At 38.7% G+C, this 25714-nt stretch overlaps 1 long non-coding RNA gene across 1 annotated transcript; it reads left to right on the top strand.

The window, feature by feature from the left end:
- The first annotated feature begins 11870 nt into the window (after positions 1-11870).
- LOC105375858 (uncharacterized) lies at positions 11871-21166 on the top strand. The gene is made up of 3 exons (XR_928924.3): positions 11871-11977; positions 13322-13404; positions 21054-21166. It is a non-coding gene; the product is annotated as an uncharacterized LOC105375858 (long non-coding RNA).
- Positions 21167-25714: the final 4548 nt, after the last annotated feature.

Below are 25714 nucleotides of genomic sequence, written 5' to 3'. Positions count from 1 at the left end.
CCTTTCCTTACGCCATATACAAAAACCAACTCAATATGGATTAAAGACTTAAATGTAAAAGCCAAAACTATAAAAAGCCTAGAAGAAAACATAGGTAATACCATCCTGGACATAAGAACAGGAAAAGATTTCAGGACAGAGACACTGAAACAATCCAACAAAAGCAAAAATTGACAAACGGGATCTAATTAAACTTAAGAGCTTCTGCACAGCAAAAGAAACTATCAACAGAGTAAACAGACAACCTACAGAATGGAAGAAAATATTTGAAAACTATGCGTCTGACAAAGGTCTAACATCCAGCATCTGTAAGGAACTTAAATTTACAAGATAAAAACAAACAACCCCATTAAAAAGTGACAAAGGACATGAGCAGACACTTTTCAAAAGAAGACATACATGCAGCCAACAAACATATGAAAAAAAGTTCAATATCATTGATCATTAGAGAAGTGCAAATCAAAACCACAATGAGATACCATCTCACACAAGTCAGAATGGCTATTACTGAAAAGTCAAAAAATGACAGATGCTGGCAAGATTGCAAAGAGAAGGGAACACTTATACACCGCTGGTGAATTATTAGTTCAATAATTGTGGAAAGCAGTATTCCTCAAAGAGCTAAACGCAGAACTACCATTCAATCCAGTAATCCCATTAGTGGGTATATAACCAGAGGAATATAAATCATTTTACCATAAAGTAATATTAATGCAAATGTTCATTGCATCTGTGTTCACAATAGCAAAGACATGGAATCAATTTAAATGCCCATCAATGACAGATTGGATAAAGAAAATGTGGTACATATACATTATGGAATACTATGCAGTCATATAAAAAGAACAAGATGATGTCTTTTGCAGGAACATGGATGGAGCTGGAGGCTATTTTCCTTAGCAAACTAACACAGGAACAGTAAATCAAATACTGTGTATTCTCACTTGTAAGCAGGACCTAAATGATGAGAACACTTTAACACAAAGAAGGAAACAATAGACACCAGAGTCTACTTGAGGGTGGAGGATGGGCGGAGGGGAGGAGCAGAAAGGATAACTATTGGGTACTGAACCTAATACCTTGGTGATCAAATAATCTGTACAACAAACCCTCATGACATGAGTTTACCTGTGTAACAAACCTTCACCTGTACCCTAGAACCTATAATAAAATTTCTTTTTTAAAAAAAGAAACTTGTCATATTCAAGTGTTTATATGAACATATGTTTAAATGCACATTGCTAATTAAAGTCATTAGCCCTATGAGAGACCGAGAGCACAACGGACCAATAATGTGAACCCCAGATCCTGAAATGCTATTGTTTAGAGGCCTGTTTGCATTTCTACTGGACTCTCTAATTGCATTGCCTGTCAGTGAACTTGATAGACAAGTTTGAATTTTGCACTTACTTTTTAAGTTAGGAATAGACTAAGTCAATATTTCACATATTAACACTTAAAAGGAAAGTCATGGTGTTTTATTTAAATTTACACATTATGATCCTTCACAGAGCTATAAACAGACCTCTGGTTCATTAAATTGGTAATGACTCTTCCCTGCTGAGAACATTTATTTCTATTTAGTTGTAAGCCACAGGTTCATTTCTACTCATAAGTAAAGGCGATTTGGATGAGCTGTTGCACAAGGTTTGCCAAAAGGTTTGTCCCTAAATAACTGCTCCCTTTAGACTGTGGAGATCTCTGAAGTAACCAACATTGCAATTAGTGTGTTTCCAAGAGACAATGATTCTAAACTCACCTAACATATGTCTGTCACATAAATGTTTATAAAATCTGAATGGGGGAAGAAAGATCCTTTAATATTACAAACTTACTAGTAAGAAGACCAACATGTTAAGTAAGCTCTTATCAATTTAAATGAGCTCGTATTTTCATTTTAACTGTCCAGTTACCTAAGAAGGACCCAAGAAAAGGAGACAGAATAGCCCTTTTCCTAAAATCTCTCTTTCTTAATGCAACAACCCTGATTTGAAAATTTGAGAGCAAACTGGGACTGTTCAGGGGTATTGAAAAAAAACACCCATAATAAATGTTCTACAAACAGAGCTGCACCTTGAACTCCACTCCTACAGCCCCCCAAGTGCTAGAGAACTACAGAAAGTTTTGTTCTCATGGAGAGTTTTTGTGATGGCTGCTCCCTGGGCTATGACAGAATGGATCCTGACCATATCTGGGCTTGGCAGGTGCTGTGGTCCTCTAGGACTGCCTGTCATAGGCATAGGGAGGAGGAGAGAGAAGACAGATGGATGCATTTGCCATTTCTGTGCCCTGCCATGACAATGACTGATAATGACGTGTCTGGCAATGAAACTTTGAGTTGGGTGAATTTCAAAGCTCAGGAAGTTAAAACCATCATGTCCCTAGTAATTGAGATTAGATCATCAAACAGATCATTCCACCATTCTCCCCTTTAGCTGAGTCATCCAAAAAAACTATTCATTGACTCTCACTGGACTGGTGTTTTGTTCCTTAAATAAGACTGCAAAGTATATTTTTAATGGAAAGAAATCTTAAAAGTTGATTTAAGTGTCTTATTGTCTTTTAATGAAAATCTGTCGGTCCAAAATAATATGATTCCATGATTTAAAACATTTAATTAAACCATCGATTCATACAACATGAACAAAACTTAACAAGTTATTCAGTGAACTGGCTGGGCTCATTCATGCGCAGGTCTTTGGAGCTCCAACTCTGGAGCCAGCCTCCTGCTTCCTCCTGTTTCTCTTACTTCCTCCCCATGCAACTTTTGCCAAGTTGTTCAGTTCCTCTAAGCTGTGTCTCTCCTTATTGTGAGTATTATAATAATATAATAATAATTCCCTCTTTGCAGATTGTTTTAAGAAAAAACTGAGATATCCCTGTAAATTGCATGTGGTCCACTATGTTTATTCAATACGTATTAGCTGTCATATCACAGTATAGAAACACCTGGCAGAATCATTTCTTACCGTATTTGAAAGCCAAATGGAAATATAATTAAGTTGGATTTACAAATTATTTCACATTTGTACATCTCTCTTTCTTCCATGGTCACAAACAAGCGATTTCTCATTACGCCTTGAAAGTTTAAAATATATTTATGTTTAAGAAGGTCCTATCATATCCAAATAATTAAAGCCAAAATGAGGTAGGAATTAAATTATATTGTAATTTCTTTAATTCTTTTATGTGTGCAAACATGACCTCAAATTCATGGGCTAACTTTTTCTTCACATTAGCGGAACTATAATGTTCAGAAAGATTCCTCAGATATCTGGAATTTCTCATAGAAATTCTAAGATTCCAGGGGCATTCACAGAGACACACAGAAAAACCAGAGACATGGCTATAAATACTCAAAAGCGTACACTGTAGCTGTATTTAAATGGTGACTACTCACTTATCTGGTAGCTCCCACTGTGGCCATTCAGGGCCATTTTATAGTCCCCTCCCTACAACTGAGCTGGTTTGATGATGGATTGACCTATTTATCCTCTCTTTGTTCAGGCCCATTGATCACTGTCAACAATTACAATGTGGGAGGATTCCCCTAGATGAGGCGTACAAATATTAATGTCTGATCATGCCTGCTTTACAGAAAATAGATTTACCTGAATTACAAACACAGCAAATTTTACAGAGCAGAAGTTTCTATTCATTTTGTAGCACAATTTTTATGTTAGCTTGGTTCTTGTGTGCATGGTTTTGTATGTATGTTTCTTAATCAGAAAAGGACTTCATTTGCCTATTCAGAGCTCTAACTTATTTCATTCTTCAAATGTAATGGCCTTCATCATTTCACTAAGCAACTTAAGCACAAGTTCACTCTTGTTTAGAAATTAGGGAATCTGCTTCCATTAATCTTGATAGTATCTTGATCTGTGTTTCAAGCTGGGTTTTCCAAAATCCAAAACACTGAGATGGAGTTTGGGTACAAAATCTTTATTAGGAATCCACACCTGGGAAAAGGAAACAGGTGGAAGTAGCTTTGGGCAGATGAAGCAGAAGTGCAGTGCAGGCCCCCGTGAGAGAGTCTAGAACAGCAGCTGACCATCAGAGTGTCCCACATCAGGCTGAAAGGGCTGGGCTTTTATGACCCTGCTAACTCTCCATTACTAACACAGGCTGTCCTGTAAGGGCATCACTTCAGCAAGGGGGCTATCTGCAGGGGAGGTGGGTCCCAGAGTGTCTGACGGCTGGACCATCTGCTGGGCACACTCCCTTGGGCGGGCAGTGCATCCTTCCTTGGAGGCGGAGCTGGCAGGTGCATCTCTGTGTCTATCACCTTTGGCTTGTTAGCATGCCTTAAAAGTGATGGGCTACAGAGTGAGGTGATTAAAAATAACCCACTAGAGGCAGGAAAAAATAGTAAGAATGAGCATTTATCTCTTACGTATTTTATTAAAAATTGTGGTAAAATATGTATTACATAAAATTTATCATCTCAACCACTTTTTTTTTTTTTTTTTTGAGATGGAGTTTCACTCTGTTGCCTAGGCTGCAGTGCAGTGGCTCCATCTCGGCTCACTGCAACCTCCACCTCCCAGGTTCAAGCAATTCTCCTGTCTCAGCCTCCCAAGTAGCCAGGATTACAGATGCCCAGCACCACGCACAGCTAACTTTCTGTATTTTTTGTAGAGATGGGGTTTCACCATGTTGGCCATGCTGGCCTTGAACTCCTGACCTCAAATGATCTGCCTGCTCTGGCCTCCCAAAGTGTGGGATTACAGGCATGAGCCACAGCGCCCGGCCAATTTTAACCACTTTTAAGCATACAGTTCAGTAATGTTAACTACATTCACATTTGTTGTACAACCACCACCACAACTCTTTTTATTTTGCAAAACTCTGTACCCAGTAAACAACAACCCCCATTTCTCCCATTCTCCATTCTTTGGCAACCACCATTCTACTTTCTGTCTCTATGAATTTGACCTAGGTACCTCAACTACCTCAAATAAGTGGAATCATACAGTATGTGTCTTTTTGTGTCTGGCTTATTTCATTTAGCATAAGCTCCTAAAGCCTCATCCATGTTGTAGCATATTCTGAACTTTCTTCCCTTTTAAGGCTGAATAATAATATTTCATTCTAAGTATATGCCACATTTTCTTTATCCCTTTGTCTTTGACTGTCTGTGTTGCTATAACAAAATACCTGAGACTGAGTAATATATAGAGAACAGAAAGTTATTTCCTACAGTTCTGGAGGCTGGAAATCCAAGAACAAAGCATCTGCAAGTCTGTTTCCAAGAAGGCACCTTGTTGCAGTGTCCCCTGGAGGGTATTAACACTCTGTCCTCACATGGCAGAAGAGACGGAAGGAAGGGCAAAAAGGACAAATGTGGTGTCCTCATAAGGTAGAAGACATGGAAGAAAGTGGCAAATGCACTCCTCAAGCCCTTCCGTAAGGGCATTAATCCCATGTCTTAATCGCCTCCTAAGGGCCCCATCTCTTCATTCCATCACTTTGGGAGATAAGTTCCAACTTATGAATTGTGGAGGGACACATTCATCTGTTGATGAGCACTTGGGTTATTTCCACCTTTTGGCTATTGTGAATAATGCTGCTATGGACATGAGTTACAAATATCTTCTCAGGACCCTTCCTTCAATCCTTTTGGAGATACACCCAGAAGTGGAAATGCTAGATAATGTAGTAATTTTATTTTTAATTTTTTGAGGAACCTCCATACTGTTTCCCATAGCAGCTGCACCACCTCACATTCCTGCCAACAGTGCACAAGGGTTCCAATTTCTCCATGGCACACCAACACTCGTTATTTTCTGATTTTTTTTAATAGCAGCTATCCTCATGGGTATAAGGTGATATTTCATTGTGGCTACTTCATCTTTCTAATGTTTGCTGGTGATATATAATACAAACTCTCTGTTACTGCAGTGGCAGATGTATGAACTCGTTCACTCAGCAAGGGGCTCAGAGCAGAAGAAGGCTGAGAGCACGTTCAGCCTTGGGGGCCCTGAGAAGGCCATTTCAGCATAGAACTGTGAGATGGTAAGTCTGTAAACATGTACTGGAGTGGGGCTTAAATATTTTATAAATAAAAGTGTAAGATTAAAAGAGCTTACAAACTGTTTGAAGAGGACTTCTTCTGTATTCCAAAAGTTAGAATCTAGAATCCTCAGACAGTGTCTATTTCCTAGGTCTCAGTCAAAAGCCCATACACAACTGTTATCATTTGACTTGTACCAAAAACAAACAAACAAACAAAACCTAAAACCTAAACATTAAAACCAAAAATCAAAATGCGCAAAACTCAGGCTGGGCGCAGTGGCTCACACCTGTAATCCCAACACTTTGTAAGGCCAAGGTGGGAGGATCATCTGAAGTCAGGAGTTCGAGACCAGCCTGGCCAACATGGTGAATCCCCGTATCTACTAAAAATACAAAAATTAGCTGGGCATGGGGGAGGGCACCTGTAGTCCCAGCTACTTGGGAGGCTGAGGCAGGAGAATCGCTTTGAACCAGGAGGCAGAGGTTACAGTGAGCCGAGATTGCCCCAGCCTGGGTGACAGAGCAAGACCTTGTTACAAAAAATAAAATAAAATATGCAAAATTCATTTTGGAGGGATGAGTAAAAGTTGAAATAAAGAGTAATAAAACTGAACAGAATCTAAAGATGTTAAAAGTAACATTTAGGAATAAAACCTGTAGATGAGAAAAGAGGCATCGCTCCTTAACACCATTCCTGGTTGTTCTCAAAAGCAAAAAGCTGAATTACTGCATGGAAAATGTCAATGTTGAGGTGTTTAGGGCAACTTGAAGTGATTGGCACAGGATTATCCATGGTTTTTTTGGGAGACTAGTGACTTCCATAACTGTGTGCCAAAAACAGCACTGCAAGATGATAACAAAAAATAAATAGAATCAGACAGTCCTATTAGACACGGCTCTCTTCTGTGTAAGTTCACCTACTGAGTGAATGTCAAAATATACAAGAGCACAAATAAACTTTCCAAGGGCTCTCTAGTGGGTTTTGTACTAAAAGCCAAGTCTTCTTTTTCCATCCAATTCCTTTCAAACAATAGAGTGCCTGGGTAAGATGAAAACCAGAGATTTCTAAGAGATACTTAAAAAACTTAAATGTTAGATATCATAATGATGAGTTACTTATAAAGATGTGAAAGACTAATTTAGATTAATCAATGTCTACATTAAGTTCTACAGAGAAATTACATTTATCCCACCACAAATCAAGAAAGTGACTTGAGACTTAGATGACTTGAGACTAACAGAAAGTACGATGTGTTCCAGAGGGAAGCCTTGAACTTCAATGGTGACCATCACAAGCCCCAAAGATTTGGCCAATCTTTGAAAAGAGTGGCAATGCTGAAATAAAGCACTAACATATTAGGAGGTCTAAGATTTGCATTTATTTTCCACATGCTTTTAGAAACCCAGCTAACTCAAATGATCTCTAACTTCAAAAAGTTGTATGAATAAAATGCTATCAGGGAGGTTTAAACCATTCATGAATATCCAGGTGTCTGAAAAGTGCCTGGAGTTATTGAAAACATTGTAATAATAAAGTAATCTGGATGTCTCCTAGGGTGCAGAGCCGGATTTGTTATTCTCCACACTACCAGATGCAAAGCCAAATGTTCCATGTTCATAAAAAATGCATCTAGAGTTGCCTATATTCATAAACAATATTTGCATGCATGAATTTTCCATTTCTTGTGATATTAGAGCTGGGATAAAGTAGCAAAACTACTCTCCTAGACCATAGTTAAAAGAAGATAAACCTTTACAATTAGAATCTGCCATTTCCCTGAGATAAAGGGGGGTTTCGTTTCTGTTGTGTTTTTGTTTTGTTTTGTTTTGTTTTGTTTGTTTTCTTCATTAAGTTGACACAGTGTGGGAAAAGCAAATGTAAGCCCAAAATCTGAGGTCAGCTCAGCTCCCCAAGGGTTAGCATATTGTGCATAAAAAGATAGACTATTTAGCACTGAATATTTTGTATTATAATCAAATTGTTCCAATCTGTTCTAAAATAGTAGAGAAAGTAACTTAATAAAAGTGAAGTCACAGATTGTCACAAAATAAAAGATTTTAAAACTAGCCTAAAAGCATTCTTATATAAATACCAAAAAGGATGGCCTAGACTTGTCATATAAAATTCAGCTAACTCATGTGCTTTGGCCCCCAGCCAAGGGATATTAGCTACCAGAAGAACCACAGTGGACACGGCCTCGCACCAATGAGTTCTTAAGCCTGAATCCAAAGGCAGTGACGACCCCAGAGTACCGTTAGTTTCAATTTAGAGATGGAGTTTTGTTTACCAAAGGAATCAAGATATTTTATATTGTTTATTAATGGTCACATTTAATATAATACCATTAATAATAATATCTTCATTTATTATGAGTTTTTTACTATGTGCTAAGCAATAAGGCAATATGCTAAGCACCTTTATACAGGGATTGTTTAATTTAATTCTAAAAAAAAGATGTGTGAAGTACTGTTATTATTTCCATCTTACCAATGAAGAAACTGATGCTTAGAAAAGATAAGTAATTAGGAGGTAATGTTTGTTATTTTTTGATCTTTCTATATTTATTTATCTTTTTTGATCATTTTAGATTTCTATTTTACAACTAGAAAAAAAAAAAGAGAGAGAGAGAGACACCAGGATCTAAAGCCCTGGGAGTTTTGTCAAAGCTCCAATTTTCAAAATGCTCCCTAGAGACCAATATATACATTACAAAACAAAAACAAAAACAAAAACAAAAAGCACCTTGTCATGGGTAGAAGTTCCCTTCAGGAAGGACTGCTAGAACATTTCATGTCAATCTGGGTGATCTTTTCATTTTGAAGTCCCAATGATGATCACAATTTACTCTTTCTTTTTGCCACCAATATCTCCAATTTCTCATGTCCAAGACATCCTAAATTCTGTCTCCAAGGTATCAAAATATATTTAGCTATATGTCAAGCCCATGCCAATTTCCAAGAGCTCCAAATTCACAGCACACTGTGCCTGGGCTAGGACTTGGTGCCGGCTTGCAGAGGGCCATGGAAATCAGGCACAGTCAGCCAGAGAGCTGCCTCTGTCCCTCACATCCAGTCCTTAATGTCTTATAGGCTCTATCTTATTACAGAAATCAGAGTAATCAGAGATGTTCTTTCTGTTTGATCTGTTTGTCTGCATGCCACACCTTGAAACAAACTTCACTTAGATCCAGTGGAAAAATCCAGTAGATGAGAAGGTGAAGCTTTGGCTTAAGAAAAAGAAAACCTGGGTTTTCTTTCTGAACCTTTGGGTAAGCTGTGAAATGTTCTGGTATGACAGCAAGAATTCAAGGGGAATATTGAAATTATAAGCCAGTTTTTCAGATATTTTATCTACACACCACTATAGGCTTCCCTTGCTACGCTGAAACACCAGAAGGAGATACTGGAGGGAATCTGAACCCAAGGGTCTCAGAGCCGACCTGGAGAGGAGACTTCATGTCATTGTGAGTCACACCAGCTACATTTGGGAACTAAGCCAAATGGGGTTGCTAAACACATGGGATAATGATTCAGAAAGTCTGGATCCAAGTCTGTGCTCTGTCTTGATTTGGGGAAGATAATCTTTCAAATCCTCAGTTCTCTCATCCATAAAATGGGAATACAAGCATCTCATAGAATTTTTGTGACTAATAAAATAGATAGTGCATGAAAAAACTAACAGAAATCCTGGCATGTGGGAAGTACTTTAAAAACATTACTTTTCTTTTTCTTTGGGTTTTTTTTTTTTTTACTTTAGCTCTGTGATACAAGCTTTGGCCTATTTTCCCTCAGTCAATCAAATTGATTGAAGGCTTTGGCATCATTGTGGCACAGACTTTATCTTCCTTTTGCACAACTGTTAGTGTCTTGTACTTATGTTTAAAATAAAGGAGAGATCAGCTTTAAACGCATTTTTAATAATGTATCATTTCAATGGTAGTAATTACTTTGGTCCTTGACTGTTGAATAATTTCATATAGATCAAAGAAGATAAAAAAACAAATGTTTAGAATTTTTAAGAGGAGTCCTACCAGTTTTTGAAAATTCTATAGAAAAGATTTGCTTTTTTAAAATTGATAAGGCCCTGTAGGTTACTTTTAGCTTTTCAGAAATAGTACTGCATACATAAAAGATGTTCGCTGAAACATTTTTGTCCTCAAGGGCAAAAAAGAGAAACCACCTCCTAGCTTCCCTCCCCCCTCCTCCAGGACCCAATGCCTGGTAGAACAGTGGCCATTAGAGGGCACTCGGTTGTGTTCCTGACACACACTTGACTCATTCCCATGCCCCAAACACCCCCTACACCACCTTACATTTCCATTTCCCAAATCCTATTTACTTTCCCAGACACACTCTCAAATAAGCCTTCCCCTACTGCTGAACTCACCTTCTTCAACCCCTGCGGTGTCTATAGTCTGCACTCTGCCTTGCGTGCTGTCTTCCACAGCTCTCAGCAATTTAGCTTTATCTTCCAAAAGTAGATTCTAAATTCCTCAGTGGCAAAGACTACGCCCTTCTTTTGCTTGCCACTGGTACAACAAAGCATAATTGTTAAGCACCTGTACCCTGAAACAAGACTGTCTGGGTTCAAACACCAACTTCCTACTTAGCAGCTGTGACCATAAGCAGATTTCTTGACCCCCTGTAACTCAGGAATCATAAAAGTCTCTACTTCATTGAGTTGTTGTGAATTAACACTATAAGATCTTAGAAAAGGGCTCCGCATATCATAAGTGTTAAGAAATTGTTAGTTTTTATTATAGTGCTGGGCCAAGTATATTAAGCCTCTGCATCAGTAAACATGAGAGGTGGTAGATGAGGCAAAAGTGTGGGATCAATAGATATAGGAGAAAAGTGGCCCCTAGCTGCCAAGAATTTACAGTTATCCTGTTGGTTATGGAGTAAACAGAGAGTACCTCACAGGCCAGGACTGTTTAAGACTCATCTTTGTTTCCTGGGGCATGGTAAAGTCCATGATACATGGCAGGTATTCAACAAATGCCTGTTGATTTATGTGGGGTTTTTGTGTGTGTGTGTGTGTATATATATACATATAAATAATACTATTACATATTATTGTATTATTATTTTATAATATAATTTTGTCTGTTTTTACTGTTGTTTTACATTTTGTCATAATTAAGCAAATCATTGGACTGTAGAGTGAGGTCTGTGCAGTAGACACCTGTAAATACACATTGCTTCTACATGATAGTCCAAAAACAGTTGTAAAATAAAAAATTTCATAGAACTGAAAAATATGGTGGCATTTAAAGTGAACCATCAAATTTCTTATTTCACACGCTTTTGTGTGGCTCCATTTGTGTCCTTGGATTGGTTTCTGCTGGCTGACTGGCATGAATTTGACCGATGCTACAGCATCAGTCTGTTCCCCATAATGGCGAAGATCATAGAGTAGCAGAGATCCCAGAGACGCACAGCTGGATCATAGCATTACCGCCTTCTCACTTTTCCAGTCCAGGCTTACCAGGCTTCCCCACCCATGAGACTTTTGATTAGAGACAGAGCTTGGATACACCCTCTTGGTTACATCGAAGAGAGCTGTGGATCCAGTTAATGAGGTTTCTGAATGATGAGTCTAAATTGTCACTCCTTGCCTTACCTGTTCTGAGAAGAAGGCTCTTGATTTTCAAGGTCAAATTCCCACACCTCTCTACCCCATGTACTCCACGCTTAGATAACAATACAGTGCCTCTCTTTCTTTACCTCTTTCCCCACAATTTCTTCCTTTTTCTTGAATCCCAGCCCATCCTTGAGGCCTGCCACCAATTGGAAGATCTTCAGTTCCACCTCTTTCCTGGACATCTGACTGTATTGCCCATCATTGTCTATGCTCTGCCCACCGAGAAGATGCATCTGGATCCCTGGTGTCACTTATTGCTGAACTGTTTGAATACCAAGTTATACCGACCTGAATCTCCCAAGTACCAACAGCAGCCTGGTGAGTGACTCTCAGGCCAGGCCCTGGTCCCCTCTTCATTTTCCTGCCTCAAGACTGAATCTTAATATTGAACTAGAGCAGCTTCCTGCCTTTGCTAGAGCACCAGGTATGGAGTACTTCTGAAAGCCCAGAGCCAAAGCTTTAGTCAGATGCTACTGATTGTGAATTTCATTGCCGAAAATCTTATTGACCAGAACAGTTTGTCTATTCTTTTTTTAGCCATGCCATTTAATAAAAAGGAAATATTGCTGAGGCTGACATAGAAATTTTTTTTTCAAGCCTATGAATATACCATCACATATTTACATATAATCACACATGACTATTTTTATTGCTTCCAAAATATTATTATAAGCTACTTTGTAATAAATATCTTGTACATACATATTTGCATACATTCCTGTTTATTTCCTCAAGATATACTATTTAAAGTGAAATTGCTGAGTCAAAATATATGATCATTTCTAGGGTCTTTGATATATTTGATATATATGGTCCTTTGGAAAGGCTGTACCAGTGGAGAATTCCATCAGAGTATGTATGAGTCCTGGAATTCTAAAGATAACAGGAATGTAGAGAATCATCTGCCTAATCTTTCACTTTGAAGATGAGGATACTAAAACGAAAGATGGCAAGCCATTTACCCAAAGATAGAATGCAAAGTGTAATTTTTGGTGAATGCATTTTTCCTTGTGTTCATCTCTTTGTATTCTAGCACACTGCTATCATTAGAGATAAACTCTTGAATGGTAAATACAAGGATTTAAATGTGGGCAACAGTCTCTGTTCCTACCATCATTCCTATTTCTGATTTTTCATATTCCATATCACATTATAAATGCATGAAATGGAGTTTCAATATTCAGGGACTGTCTCAAGCTTCAAATTACCAAGAAGGAAATTCCAGTTAGAAAAATGCCTGTAGCTTACTCCGTGGTCCTGCCTTCTGGTCTCTTTCAAACCCATCTGTTTTCTTGATGGACAGGGCTGGGCTCAGAAACCAGATGTGTTTTTCTTCTAGATGCCATTCTTCTAGAGGACCGAATGTCTGACACATGACAAAAGGCAGGAATTTGCTTATTTATGTTAGTTGTTAAATGTGGAACAAATCAACAGTATGTCTCTTCTTAAAAATACTTTGGCAGGCTGCAGCTTTTCTTTCTGTTTACAAATCTTTGCTAACATAATTACAGGATTGCTTTCCTTAAATATCTTATCCTGAAGTTAGCTAGCCTGTGGCTCCCACAGCAGACCCCAGAATCTTGGTGTACCTGTGGAAATTGTCACAAATATAGCACTTACAGCAAACAACTATAGCTTCTCAATTTTGCTCTCAAATAATAGGCTCGAAGCCAGAAGGAATGACTGGATATCCCAAGTACCTGATGGCCACATAAACATTTGAAGTATCAAGCATTAGAAGAAAGGTAAGCAGGTTGCTATCAAGTACTGTGCCAGACAATACGACTACAATACAATGGTGAGCAAAACAGATATGAGCAGAATTTACAGTGGTAGAGTTTTCTTGTTTGGGGGTTTTCCAATTACTTTGCTTACGTCCAATTTATAAAGAACTTTATCAATTTAGCTCTAGTTTCTTTGCAGTGACAAATATAACATCCTGAACCCTGAATAAATCCTCAGTGAGGTCCGTGGTGGACGCCTTGCCCTCTTGCAGCATAAAAGCTTGAAGGTATACTCTTTCAGGAAAAAAGTACGCAGGGCTTTAAAAAGTCTTCTCCAGGGCAGTTCTATTTCCCCCCTGAGTATCTTCCAGTAAGACCAATAAGATTCCATTCAATGATGCCAGGCTTGATTTGCATAGAATGGAGAATCCCACTGTGCTAAGAAGGAAGGAATCTTAGAATGTAACCACTTAGCTTATTATACGCTGCCAAAAAAATCTGTAATTTCAAAATATATTCAGTAGGCCTTGGTTGATTCACGCTTTTTTAAGTCCTAAGATTTCTTTTTCTAAATTGATACAAAATAATTGTACATATTTATGAGGTACATGTGATATGTTGGTACATGTCTATAATGTGTAATAAGTCCTAAAATTTATTGTAAGAGCTCTCTCTGTTTATTAATTCAATAACCTGTTTTGTTCCACATAATGGCCCTTTAAAGGTAGTTGCAGTCAGGCCAATTAGCAAATGTCATACAGGTTCAGACTTAAGTACCGTATAATCAGACCAAATTACTCCTTGACTTAAATTCAGACAATTTCATTTTGCTTTATCCTTTAAAAAATTTAAAAAAATACTTCCCCTATCCCCCCAAAAATCCATACAAGCACTTGCAACAGGAAGGAGGCTAGGTCTGAAGAATTTCAGGAGTCTTCTGCCCCTGTTTCCTCTCTTTTAGCCAATCAAGATACCTGGAAATCCACGACTAAAGAGTCACTCTTGGGTGTTTTGTTTCTTTTAATGTCTTCTGGTGATTCACAACTGACAATAGGAAGAAAAAGTCCCCATTCATTCACTCATTCATTTTTCCATTTACTCTCTTATTCATTTATCCTTTTATTCAACAAGTATGGGGGGGAGCATTTTTATATACCAGGCACTGTACTACCTTCCATGGCACTCACCTTACTACCTGACATAGCACACAGGCTCAGATTGTCAATAAAGATGCCAGAGAACCTGAGATCTCACCCAGCATCAAGCTTTACTAGTAATTTCAGGAGTCATTGTGAGCCACAGGGGAAGCAGAGAGAGGTCTGCCACCCTCAGAGCAGCTCTCCAGGACCTTTCCTGCCATGGGTCATGTGTGACCTCTAAGGTCTGCATGCAGTTCACATCACTTGCACAGAAGAGGGCCACATCAGGCATGAAGGTTTTCCATCTTATACCCACAGTCACATAGCATATATATGTGGTGTATTCTAGGAGGTCATGCTCCATCTATTTGTAGATTCCAGGTCTGGTTACCACAAACAATCCTACACAAACAGGTACATCCTAAACACCATTTAGCTGTTTGCCAAGTCTACCATTAACCTGTTTATAGAAAGATTACAAAGAAGTCTCATAGGAAGAGAATGGATTGCAAAAAACCTGCTGTTTTATCAATTAACTTCCCATTACCCAATCTGAGCAGGCTCTAAAAGGGAGAGGGTGGGCTACCAGAGAGCTATAGGCAGGACTTGATGATTTTTGTCCAACACTGACACTGACAAAATCAAATTGAAGCCACAGTGTACTTGCATGGAAGTAGAGGAAAATAAAAAAGAATGTGTAGTGTCACAATGGAAGGGTATTTTATCAAACATTTCCATAGCCAAACCCCCAAAATGTCAAGCATTTCCTTCCATAACTTAGACAACTACCATGGATGCCACTGCTGCAACTTGCTACTCTTTATTGAGCACTTACTATGTAGCAGGCACTGTGCTGGGCATTTATACATAAAATCTCATTTAATTGTCACTTTCCTATGAGATGGATACTATTAATCTTATACAATTTACGAGGAGCTGAGACTTAGCGAAGTTCCACACACCAGTTTAATGAGGAAGCTAGCATCCATTCCATCCAGCCAGTGCTGAATCAAAGTCTGGAATCTCTATTACCACCCTCTCCCTGTCAGGGTACAGGGCGATTGAATGAGGTGGCTCAAAAGGTCAGGAGTCCTCTTCTAAAGACCCAGAAGCTATGGGACAGAACCTTCCACAAGGAGTGAGTTCCCTTTTTAGGCCATTCTCTGGGTGGAGCAGTGCCCCAATTCCAGTCCACTTTCCTGGAGAGAATGTAGGTTAAGGAGCTCAATAGCACATAAGGTCTGTGAGGGCCCAGACCAGAGATGGCAAATTAAGGTTTTAGAGGAACATCATGTGGTCTATTTCAATTAGGAAACTTTATTCACTTCAAAAAGGTCCCCAGAAATCTTTCATAACTTCCTTTGTTCAGGTGTCTCCTGAACTGTAAATTCATCAAGGGGCATCACAATTCTACAAACGGTGTTTGAGGGAACAGATTTCCTAGGGTGGCACCTAGCTGTACTGAGGATCTTCTGGAAAATATTTAGGGTGTGTTTTTGTCCTCTCATGGACACAAAGTGTGTGGTGGCCTCTTTGTACAAATGAGCAAAAATAGAAGCTCTTCTGTATCTTTTGCTAAAGTGAGGGGAGTTTCAGATCATCTCCTTGCATTTAGAACACTAGGTATTGAATTAACTCCTATTACCCTGCAAAAGTCCCTTCTGGAATTACTCTTAAGTTTCAACCAACAGTAGAACTAAGAATTTTTTTGAAGTAAATGATAATACATTTCCAGTGTTAATAAGAAAACAATTTTAATCATATAAATGATATCATTGTATTTGGATTTTTTTTCCTCCTGTAGCAATAGAGGCAATTTTTAAAAGCACCTTCAGAAGGAAAATGGATGTATGCAACCAAGACAAAGAACATTTTGAGGCAACACACATCTGTGGCTACTGAGTGCCTGTTTTGAATTACATTTAAATTGCCTGAAGAGCATTTGGCAAATGCAAAGTTTGAAGTTGGTTTAAGCTTTTCCATGGACAATTTAGGTTTTGTACTGTTATTGTTATATCTATGCTTTAGCATTCAAATCTTTTCAACCAGCATGGAAAAGAGAAAAACATTGTGTTAAAGGCTTTTTAATGACATAGTAACTCCTCTTGACAAACAGTGGATCTGTTCCATTATCTTATCTGCCAAAAAAGAAATATCTTCCAGGAGAATAATATGTGCTTAATCATGAAAGCCTTCAGCTCTGAAAGCTTCAAATGATAGAATCAGCAACAGAAACAAGTACTCCACATCCCCAAATTAGATGTGTTTTTTTGATTATCTTGCAGTAACATCTGTGGTAATAATACTTTCTGGAAACCACTGCTGATATACTCAAATAGCTTTACCAAGCTTGCCTGGTTTGTCATGTCAAAAATCTAAGCATAGGATCGCCCCTCCCCTCATCATTTGCCCTTTGGCTTTGCCCCCGCAACCCCGGAAGCTCAGAGAGGCTCCTGTGAGCTATGACTTTGGAACACGACCATCCCCTAATTTCCACACTCTCCTTAGAGCTGACCATCCTACCATGTGCAATGTGGCCAGTTAGCTCTAGGGAAGTCATCATTGCTTCGCTGCCTTGAAAATTACAAAATTACAATCAAAAGATAATATAAATTTAGAGAACGTACCTACTTCAAATGGATGTATGGTCCTGCCTATAGACAATTCTTAATAGGACTTCTCTTATACCCAAGGCCAGACTACTTTGCAGGTGAGAACTCAGGTTAAAGAGTTCTAAGCTTATCTTACCTGCCTGGGTCCAAATTAGAGGTAGCACAAGTACATGTCTCTCTGGCAACCTCTGACTGTGAACAGGAAATCCTACTATTTGACCTCGTTAGGAAATAGAACCTACTCTTCCTCTGCATTTGTGGGGTTTTGTACTACATGTTGTGCATTTATTAAAACATTAATGTTATAATGGTAGAATATAGAATCCACTTAGATCAGCCTCAGGCTTGGTGTGTTTGCAGAGGGCCGGGTTGCTTATTTTGGGAGCAGGGGTGAGTTGAGAATCTGATGAGAATATTAAAATATCAAACATTTTGGAATCAAATGGGCTCTTGGTTGTCAAAATGCTGACAGATATTAAATTTCTGAGAGTTATTGAGTTTGTAGGATACTAAAGAAGAGAATGCTAAGAATGTTTCATGTCACTACTTTAATACATTTTATTTTTTACCGTGTTTCACCTCTCCACAAGGGAGAGAACCTATGTTGCACAGCAGAACTAGAAAAAAAGCACTTATCCTTCCAGAACCACTAAGTAGTTTACTATATATGGTCCACATTGTCCCCAAGAGACAGAAAAAGCTGTCCTATATCTTAAATAAAATATTATTAGTGCTGGAACAGAATCACATAACTTCGTTCTCATAATGTGATACTGAAAGTCATATGAAAAGTATAGAAATAGAAATAGAAAAATAAAACCCTAAATAAATGATATAATCTGAAAATAAAATTTTATATACTTTTCCTCCTCCAAAAAAAAAACATAATATTACCAAATTTAGTAATATGTATGAGAAGATAGCAGTATTCTCATGCATGCCTCATTGGTAAGATTAGCTACAGGCAGTTTTGCAGAAAGACAGAACTTTACTATGAACTCATTCTGATAGTATATTAGGTTTTTAAATAGCATACAAAACTTAGGTTTTAAGTATGTTCATATGTGTTAAAATTTTGATCACTTTACTGGAGAATTTTTTACTCCTGTGTAGTGCATAGTAAACAGTTCAATGACGGCGATAGTGGTAGTGATGTTTTGAACAGCTGTGGTACTATATTCATACACTGATTTTATTGGGCCTATGTTATAACCCAGATACAGAAGGATTCCACCCAAATTTGGGGGGGGAATGTAAAGCCATTAAAATGAACTGAAAGACTTTTTTTTGAAAAGGATATTAATGATGCCAATGCCTTTTATATCTGAATTTTGAAAAGTAGAATATCAATGAGACCCATTAGAGAACATTTGGGGAAATTTAGATGTTGAAAACCTGCCTTAATTGATTGCAAAACAGAGAGACAGCTAATGTACGACTTCAGTAAGCATTTATTTTAATGAAGAAAGAGCTAGCTGTCCTAATGATTTTGAAGGAATCTCTGCACATGAGCAGGGTTAGTATGGACAACTGCCAACATTTGTGCCTTTCACCAAATGGACATTTCTAGCAGCATGTTGCCACAATACTTTCAAGGCTCAACTGAATTTATGACAGTTTGGTTGTATTTTTCTTGGTCCATAGAAGCTGATCAAAGAATCCTCAAGTCACTAGCTAACGGTCAATTTGATAAGAACGCTAAAATTATCTGGGTAAACTGTATTGTGGCCAATTATTTTAATAATTGGAATTGGATGAATTATGTGTTAATATAAACAACTGTGCTCAACACAGTTGTGTGTAAACCCTCAAGACGATTGAGCTCAGGGGCTGTATAGACATGGACATGCTCATTCAGCAGATCACGCTAAGCAATCAGGAGCCATGCTGAGCTGCACGTAGCTCATCAACTTCAAGGTTCTGACTCATATCAACTGCCTTTGCCCCAGATTCTCAATTTTTAGTGGTAAAATCAATGTAACATATTTCCTTGGTATTTTTTTCTGATTAAAGGTAGCTCTTCTCAATAAAACTAGTTTTCTGCTTACAGGAGAGCTAGCTTAAAGAATGCCTTATGGCAGATTGTAACATTGTCTCCTGTCTTTCGAGCATTCCCCAGAACTGAAAAATTGGATTGTTTTAAGGCTGTGTCAGATTACCCCACAAGTATTTAGCACTATCACTGGAGATGGGGCAAAGGAAGGAGAGAACATTCACCACCACTCAGGATCTTTCTGGGGCAAGCTGAGCCTGTGCAGCAAATTCATTGTCATCTGAAGAAGGCCAAGGATAAACATGAACTGAAAAGTGAAACGCCAACAACCCTTCTTTCCTTGGCCCAGAAGGATTTTTAGATAGTAACTCAAGTGAATTCTTCTCCCACTGCTATTCAGTTTTGTTGTCCACAATAAATTAGGACAACTGTGGACACGGAGTGTGATCTAGTTTATCCTCCTTGTTACATTACACTCACACGGGAAGCCATCAGAGTTGAAAGTGACATTCTATTCTGGCTCCAGAAGTCATAGTAAAAAGTGAACCTTGGAATTTGTGATAAAGAAGGAACATATCTTTAGAGGAGAAATCTAATAGCATCTTCCCTCCATGGGACAGGTAGTCAATCAAACGGCATCTAAACCCAGTATGGAGAGAGAGTAAGGAGGCATACTCTAAACTCACTCCATGTGATTGAATTCCATGAACTATCCTATTTTGTTAGATCGGCTCTTGGAGAAAGAATGAGTTAAACCTCAAGACACATGCTGCACATTATATTATTTTTTGTACTTTCTTACATTATACATATACTACTATGAATTATATATTGATGTGTTTATTACAAATACACATTATATATACTAAGGAAGAATAGATATATGGTATATATATATTCTTTCATATTCTGTTTCATCTTTCATCTTACCTTGTGAATGTGTGATTTAGATAAAATTAAACATGTAAACTAGATGAGTCAGCTGTCTTTTACTCTTCCTTAATTATGCTATGATTAATCAATTGAAAGAGGATCAAGAAATTTATTTTCAGTGTTGAATAACTACAAAATTAAACAGAGTGAGAGGTGGCTGTCTAATCTGGTATAATAACCCTCCTAAGAACAGCCTTATAAGAGAGGCTTCACGATTGTCCTCAGGGAAATGTCTGAAACAGGTAACAATTCAGAAAGGGGAAGAAGCCCAATAACAAGGGAAGGCTTTCTCTTGAGACAGGTTACTGAGTAAGAGGGGGAGATTAACTAGTGTTTATTATCCCTAAGATATAGACGCTTATCTGAGTACTGAGATAACTCAATAATCAGCCAAAGAAGGAACATGCTCCCATGTCCTAGTTTCAAATTCTTGTGCCTTACCAGTCATAGCAAAAAACACTTGAAAAGGATAAAGAGATAGAAAAAGTATTCTAAGAGTTTTTTTTCCAAGTGGACAAAGTTAGTGGCCATAACTGGGTCCCATCCCGCCCCTTCCCCTGGACATATGCTAGGTAAATCCTGGATGTTTGGCCCAAGGTATATCTAGCACAGAGGGAAGAAAGTCAGAATTTATCTCTGGGAGCAAAAGTTAGTTCTAAGGAAGAAATATTTATCTTCCAGGTGGGCAAATATCTAAGGGGGAGTCCTTATCTTGGCTCATATCTGATGTGGTCAGGGATATGAATACATGAAAGAGGCAACTGTACAACCGGACTCAAGGAAGGAGTTTCCTCTGATCAAAAGGAAACAGCTCCAAAATGGAAGTGTGTTTGCAGAAGCTGCCTGGTTATGGAAATCCAAGACTAATTTATTGCAAGTCAATGTTTAGAAGTTAAACTAATTGTTACCTTCTTTGGGAACTAAGCAAGATCTCACCACGGACTAGTAGTCTCTTGTACATGTTTAATACTATATTGTACATATTATTTGTAGGTCTGTTCCCCATCCTGACTTTGAGCATGCTTCATGGAGAAACTGCCTCCCATAGACTATCTGGCTCGAGCTCCCCTGCCCTCCAGTGGATTTGGCCAATAGGAGGCATCAGCAAGAGATGAGAGGGCAAGAGAAAAGAGAAGTGAGGATATTTCTCTCCCTTCTCCCCTCCCTGTATTGGTGCCCCATGCTGACAGGGGCTGTTTCCTTTGTTACTACATCTCCTGCCAGACTACCCCTCCCTGGCTCCAGCCTCATAAACTCTGCTGAAACTCAATCTTCCCTTTGCCCTTTCAGGCCTAGGGGTATGAACAGCTGTCTGTTCAACTTGGCTCCCTTAACCATGCCCACACCTCTGTAAATGATCCCTTCATTAAACTATCTTCCCTTAAGTCCTTTTGTTTCTTGCTGTAACCTTAATGGATACACAAAGCTTCATTTGCAACCTCCTTGCCAACTTTCAGAGCTTCATATCCACCTGAGACCCTGTTCTTTTGTTCAAACACATATATTTGTTAGATGTTTGGTAGGGTTTACATGTGCAACAGTTAACAAGACAGTCTTTGCCTACAAAGAATTTACAGTCTTGTTCTGAATACGTGTAAGTAAAGAGTTCATCAAAACAGTGGGTGAACCATACATTAGGGCTGTGTGACTCTGTGCTGGGTATTTCTTCCTGGATGTCACCCTGGCCTGAATCTTCACATCCAACATTTATCATTCTGAACTCACTCCCCCAAGCCCACTCTCTACTACCTTTGTTGATGACACCAACATACCATCTACTCATTTGTCCAGGTTAGAACCTATGGAGTCATCCTACATGCCTCTGACTTTCTTTTATCGGTGTGATAAAAAATTTATAAATTTATAGCCTAAATTGCTTTCAGTCATATTCTCCTCACACTCAGTGTTCCTTCCCTGGTCCAGATATCCACAGCTTTTCTCTCCCAATCTCAAATCCTGCTCCCTTGAATTCATCCCCGACTGTGCCATCCTGTCAGTTACTGACAACATATAAAACCGATTGGAATTCTATTCTGGCCACAGCTTTTCTGGCCCCTTCACAAGTGAGTTTAAAATGTATACTCCTTTGTAAGTCTGACAAGGCCTTTTATGATCTGGCCCCTACCTGCCTATCTAGCCTTGTTTCACCCAAGCTGCTCAACTACCACCTGACCCCAGCAATGCTAAAGTTATTATGGTTTCCCAAACATTCCATACGCTCTCCTGTCAGGTCCACTGAGAACACTCTATTTATCTTTCTTTCTTTTGGAGTTTCACTCTTGTTGCCCAGGCTGGAGTGCAATGGCACGATCTTGACTCACCACAACCTCCGACTCCAGGGTTCAAGCAATTCTCCTGCCTCAGCCTTCCTGAGTAGCTGGGATTACAGGCATACGCCACCATGCCCAGCTAATTTTGTATTTTTAGTAGAGATGGGGTTTCTCCATGTTGGTCAGGCTGGTTTCGAACTCCCGACCTCAGATGATCTGCCTGCCTCAGCCTCCCAAAGTGCTGGGATTACAGGCGTGAGCCACCGTGCATGGCCTTATCTTTTCCTCAAATGCTGCCATTTCTGTGAAGCCTTTTCTGTGTTCTACAGGCACCTGTAATTCTCCTATTACATTTAGTAAACTTCTCCCATACCTGTGCTCTTATCATAATTATTTGTTCAGACATCCATCTCCTCCTAAGGCTACTAATTCCTTAACTACAGAAACTATGTATTTTCTTCCATGAATCTAAGACATGGGCATTCAGTAAATACCATTTGAGAAATGAATAAATGCTTCACAATTTTCAAATCACATTGGTACCTTTTGTCTCATTGAACCCTCCCCAGAAGTGGCAGCTGTAACTGATTAATGAGGACTTACCTGGAGCCAAATTGTCAGTAAGCCTCAGCATACGAAGTGTAAGTTGACTTCACAACTCTGGTGCCCCTGTCTAACTTTATGGCTTTGCTGAAGTTACTAAATGTCCTTGAACCCTGGATTCTTGATATGTAAACTAATAGCGATAATAATAGTAACTATCTGAGAAGCTATTGTGAAATTTAACAAGAAAATGTATACTTAGCACAGCATCTGATACGTGGTGAGTATCTGCAGATGTTACCTCTTTCTATCCTTTCTTTCACAACCCCACCACTGCTAAAAATATTCCTTGTAACAAAGGCCAGAAGATGCAGAGACCCATAGTCATGTAGTTAATTTATGCAGCCAAACTATATTGCCTTGATTTCTCCTATTTTCAAACATATGTAACTACTAGTGTCAGCAGTATTTCTAACCTGTCCTGAGCAAGAGTTCTGCCTCATTCATCTGGCATAAATCTGCTACATGAACAGGGGAAAAAAAAGTGGTAGAAAGTTGAGAAGCAGATAGCATAAAAGAGAAAGGGAAAATCAGTTGCCAGTTCTCCTAATCTTCCTTTTAAATAAGAAAGACTCAGTCAAGTAAATAATGCATTTACCCTGCAGCTTAAAGGCATCTCTGCAATTCCTACTGTCAGAACAGGGAAATGTGGTTAGTTGGTAGAGCACCAGACTGGCCCACTGAATTCAGATTGTGCAGGCATGTGCACTCTCATTTTACGTAATTCACCTTTTTTTTTTCCAATTGTCAACATTTATTACAGCTATCTTTAGCACCTGTAGCAATTGCAGGAAAAGCTCTTTGTTGAAGAAGCAAACATAATATGAAAAAATGAGGCTTTTTCTTGAACACTTGCATTAGGATAGTGTGCAATTAGAAACTTTATTACCACAGCTTTTGTATATCCTCCTCAAACATACTTTAAGAATTTATTTAAACTTTTAGAGCAACTTTCCATTTTTCTTTGTCAATATAAATGTCTCTATTACACTTATGGATAATGATCTTTAGGAGGTAGAGAAGGAGGTGATAGTAACATCTGACATTAGGTGATAGGATTCCATTAAATGTGCTATTAGAGTGAGCTGAGATGGTTCAAAGGATGAGTAATAGGCCACAAAGCCTTTCACCTGTGTGTCAGTGGGTCCAGCATCTCAGTTAGCAAGGCCTGATCGCTTGACTATTTTTCAGTAATGCAAAAGCATAATTCCTGTAGGGTTTCCTGCACAATAGACCATTCTTCAAATGGTCACTAAGAGGACAGAGCACTAGATTAGGAATTATAAGACCTGAATTCTAATCTCAATAATTACTACCTTATTTCCATATCATTTAACTTCTCAAGGGCCTCAATTTCCTCATCTGCCAAAAGAATGCACAATAAAACAAAAAAATCTTTCATGGTTTTGATGTTCCTCAGACGTTTGAGTAGATCCAGATTTTTATCTGGTATTATATTTGTTCTACCTGAAAGATTTTCTTTAACATTTGTTATTGTGTGTCACAGAAGCCCTACACATCTCACGAAAGCAAGTGCTTTAAAAAGTATTAATTGCTATACAAATTCTAATCCTGTTATCCCAGAGCAAAATGATTCTGATCTGCTCCACTAGTCCTTAAGGTCTTTGAGCACCTGAGCTGTGTCTCACAGGTTGTGTCAGCCACCTTCCTGAATGCATACCTGGAACCCACTTTGGCTAGTTTATGCAAAGATAATTGAGTAAGGAGTATATCTGGCTCAAAAAATTGTTGGGAGGGCTGAAAAGCAGACATCAGGCTGAGCTTCTGAGAATAATTTACCTACCTGTGGCACCAAGGTGACTGCTGCCTCTCCTACAGTGCAGTAGAGATGGGAACATCGGGGTCTGGGTACATGTCACCTCAGCCGCATTCACATACATAGCTCAAATGCCCCACATTCTGCTTCTCCTCACTGGGACTCCTCTTTCTAAATTTTAGATTGACAAACAACAATTATATATATTTATAGGGTTCAGTGTAATGTTATGTTTTATGTATGCATTGTGGAATGATTAAATCAAGCTTATTAACATGTATATCAACTCATATACTCATCATTTTTTGTAGTGAGAACGTCAGGCCTGTAATCCCAGCACTTTGGGAGGCAGGTGGATCGCTTGAACTCAGGAGTTGGAAACCAGCCTGCGGAAAATGGTGAAATCCCATCTCTACAAAAATTACAGAAATTAGCCGGGCATGGTGGTCCATACCTGTAGTCCCAGCTACTTGGGGGTCTGAGGCAGCAGGATCCCTCCTTGAGCCCAGGAGGTCGAGGCTGTGGTGAGCCGAGATCACGCCACTGCACTCCAGCCTCGGTGACAGCGTGAGACCCTGTCTCAAAAAACAAACAAACAAAAACGCAAACAAAAAACAACAACAAACCTCTATTCTTTCAGGAATTTTGAAATATACAATACATTATTATTAACTAGAGTCACCTTGATGTGCAATAGATCTAAAACTGATTCCTCCTGTCTAACTGAAACTTCGCATCCTCTGACCAACATTTCTCAGACCATAATCCCTGGTAGCCGCCATTGTACTCTCTACTTCTACAAGTTTGACATTCTTAGCATCTACATATAAATGATACCATGCAATATTTTTCTTTCTGTGCCTGACTTATTTCACTTAGCATAACGTTCTTCAAGTTCATGCAGGTTATCAAAAAATTACAGGATTTCCTTCTTTTCTACGGCTGAAAGGCTGAATATTATTCTATTGTGTATACGTGCCACATTTTCTTCATCCATTCATCTG

Source organism: Homo sapiens, chromosome 8 (assembly GCF_000001405.40).
Source record: "Homo sapiens chromosome 8, GRCh38.p14 Primary Assembly".
NCBI classification, from domain to species: domain Eukaryota; kingdom Metazoa; phylum Chordata; class Mammalia; order Primates; family Hominidae; genus Homo; species Homo sapiens.
This window is presented reverse-complemented; position numbering and strand designations above follow the sequence as displayed.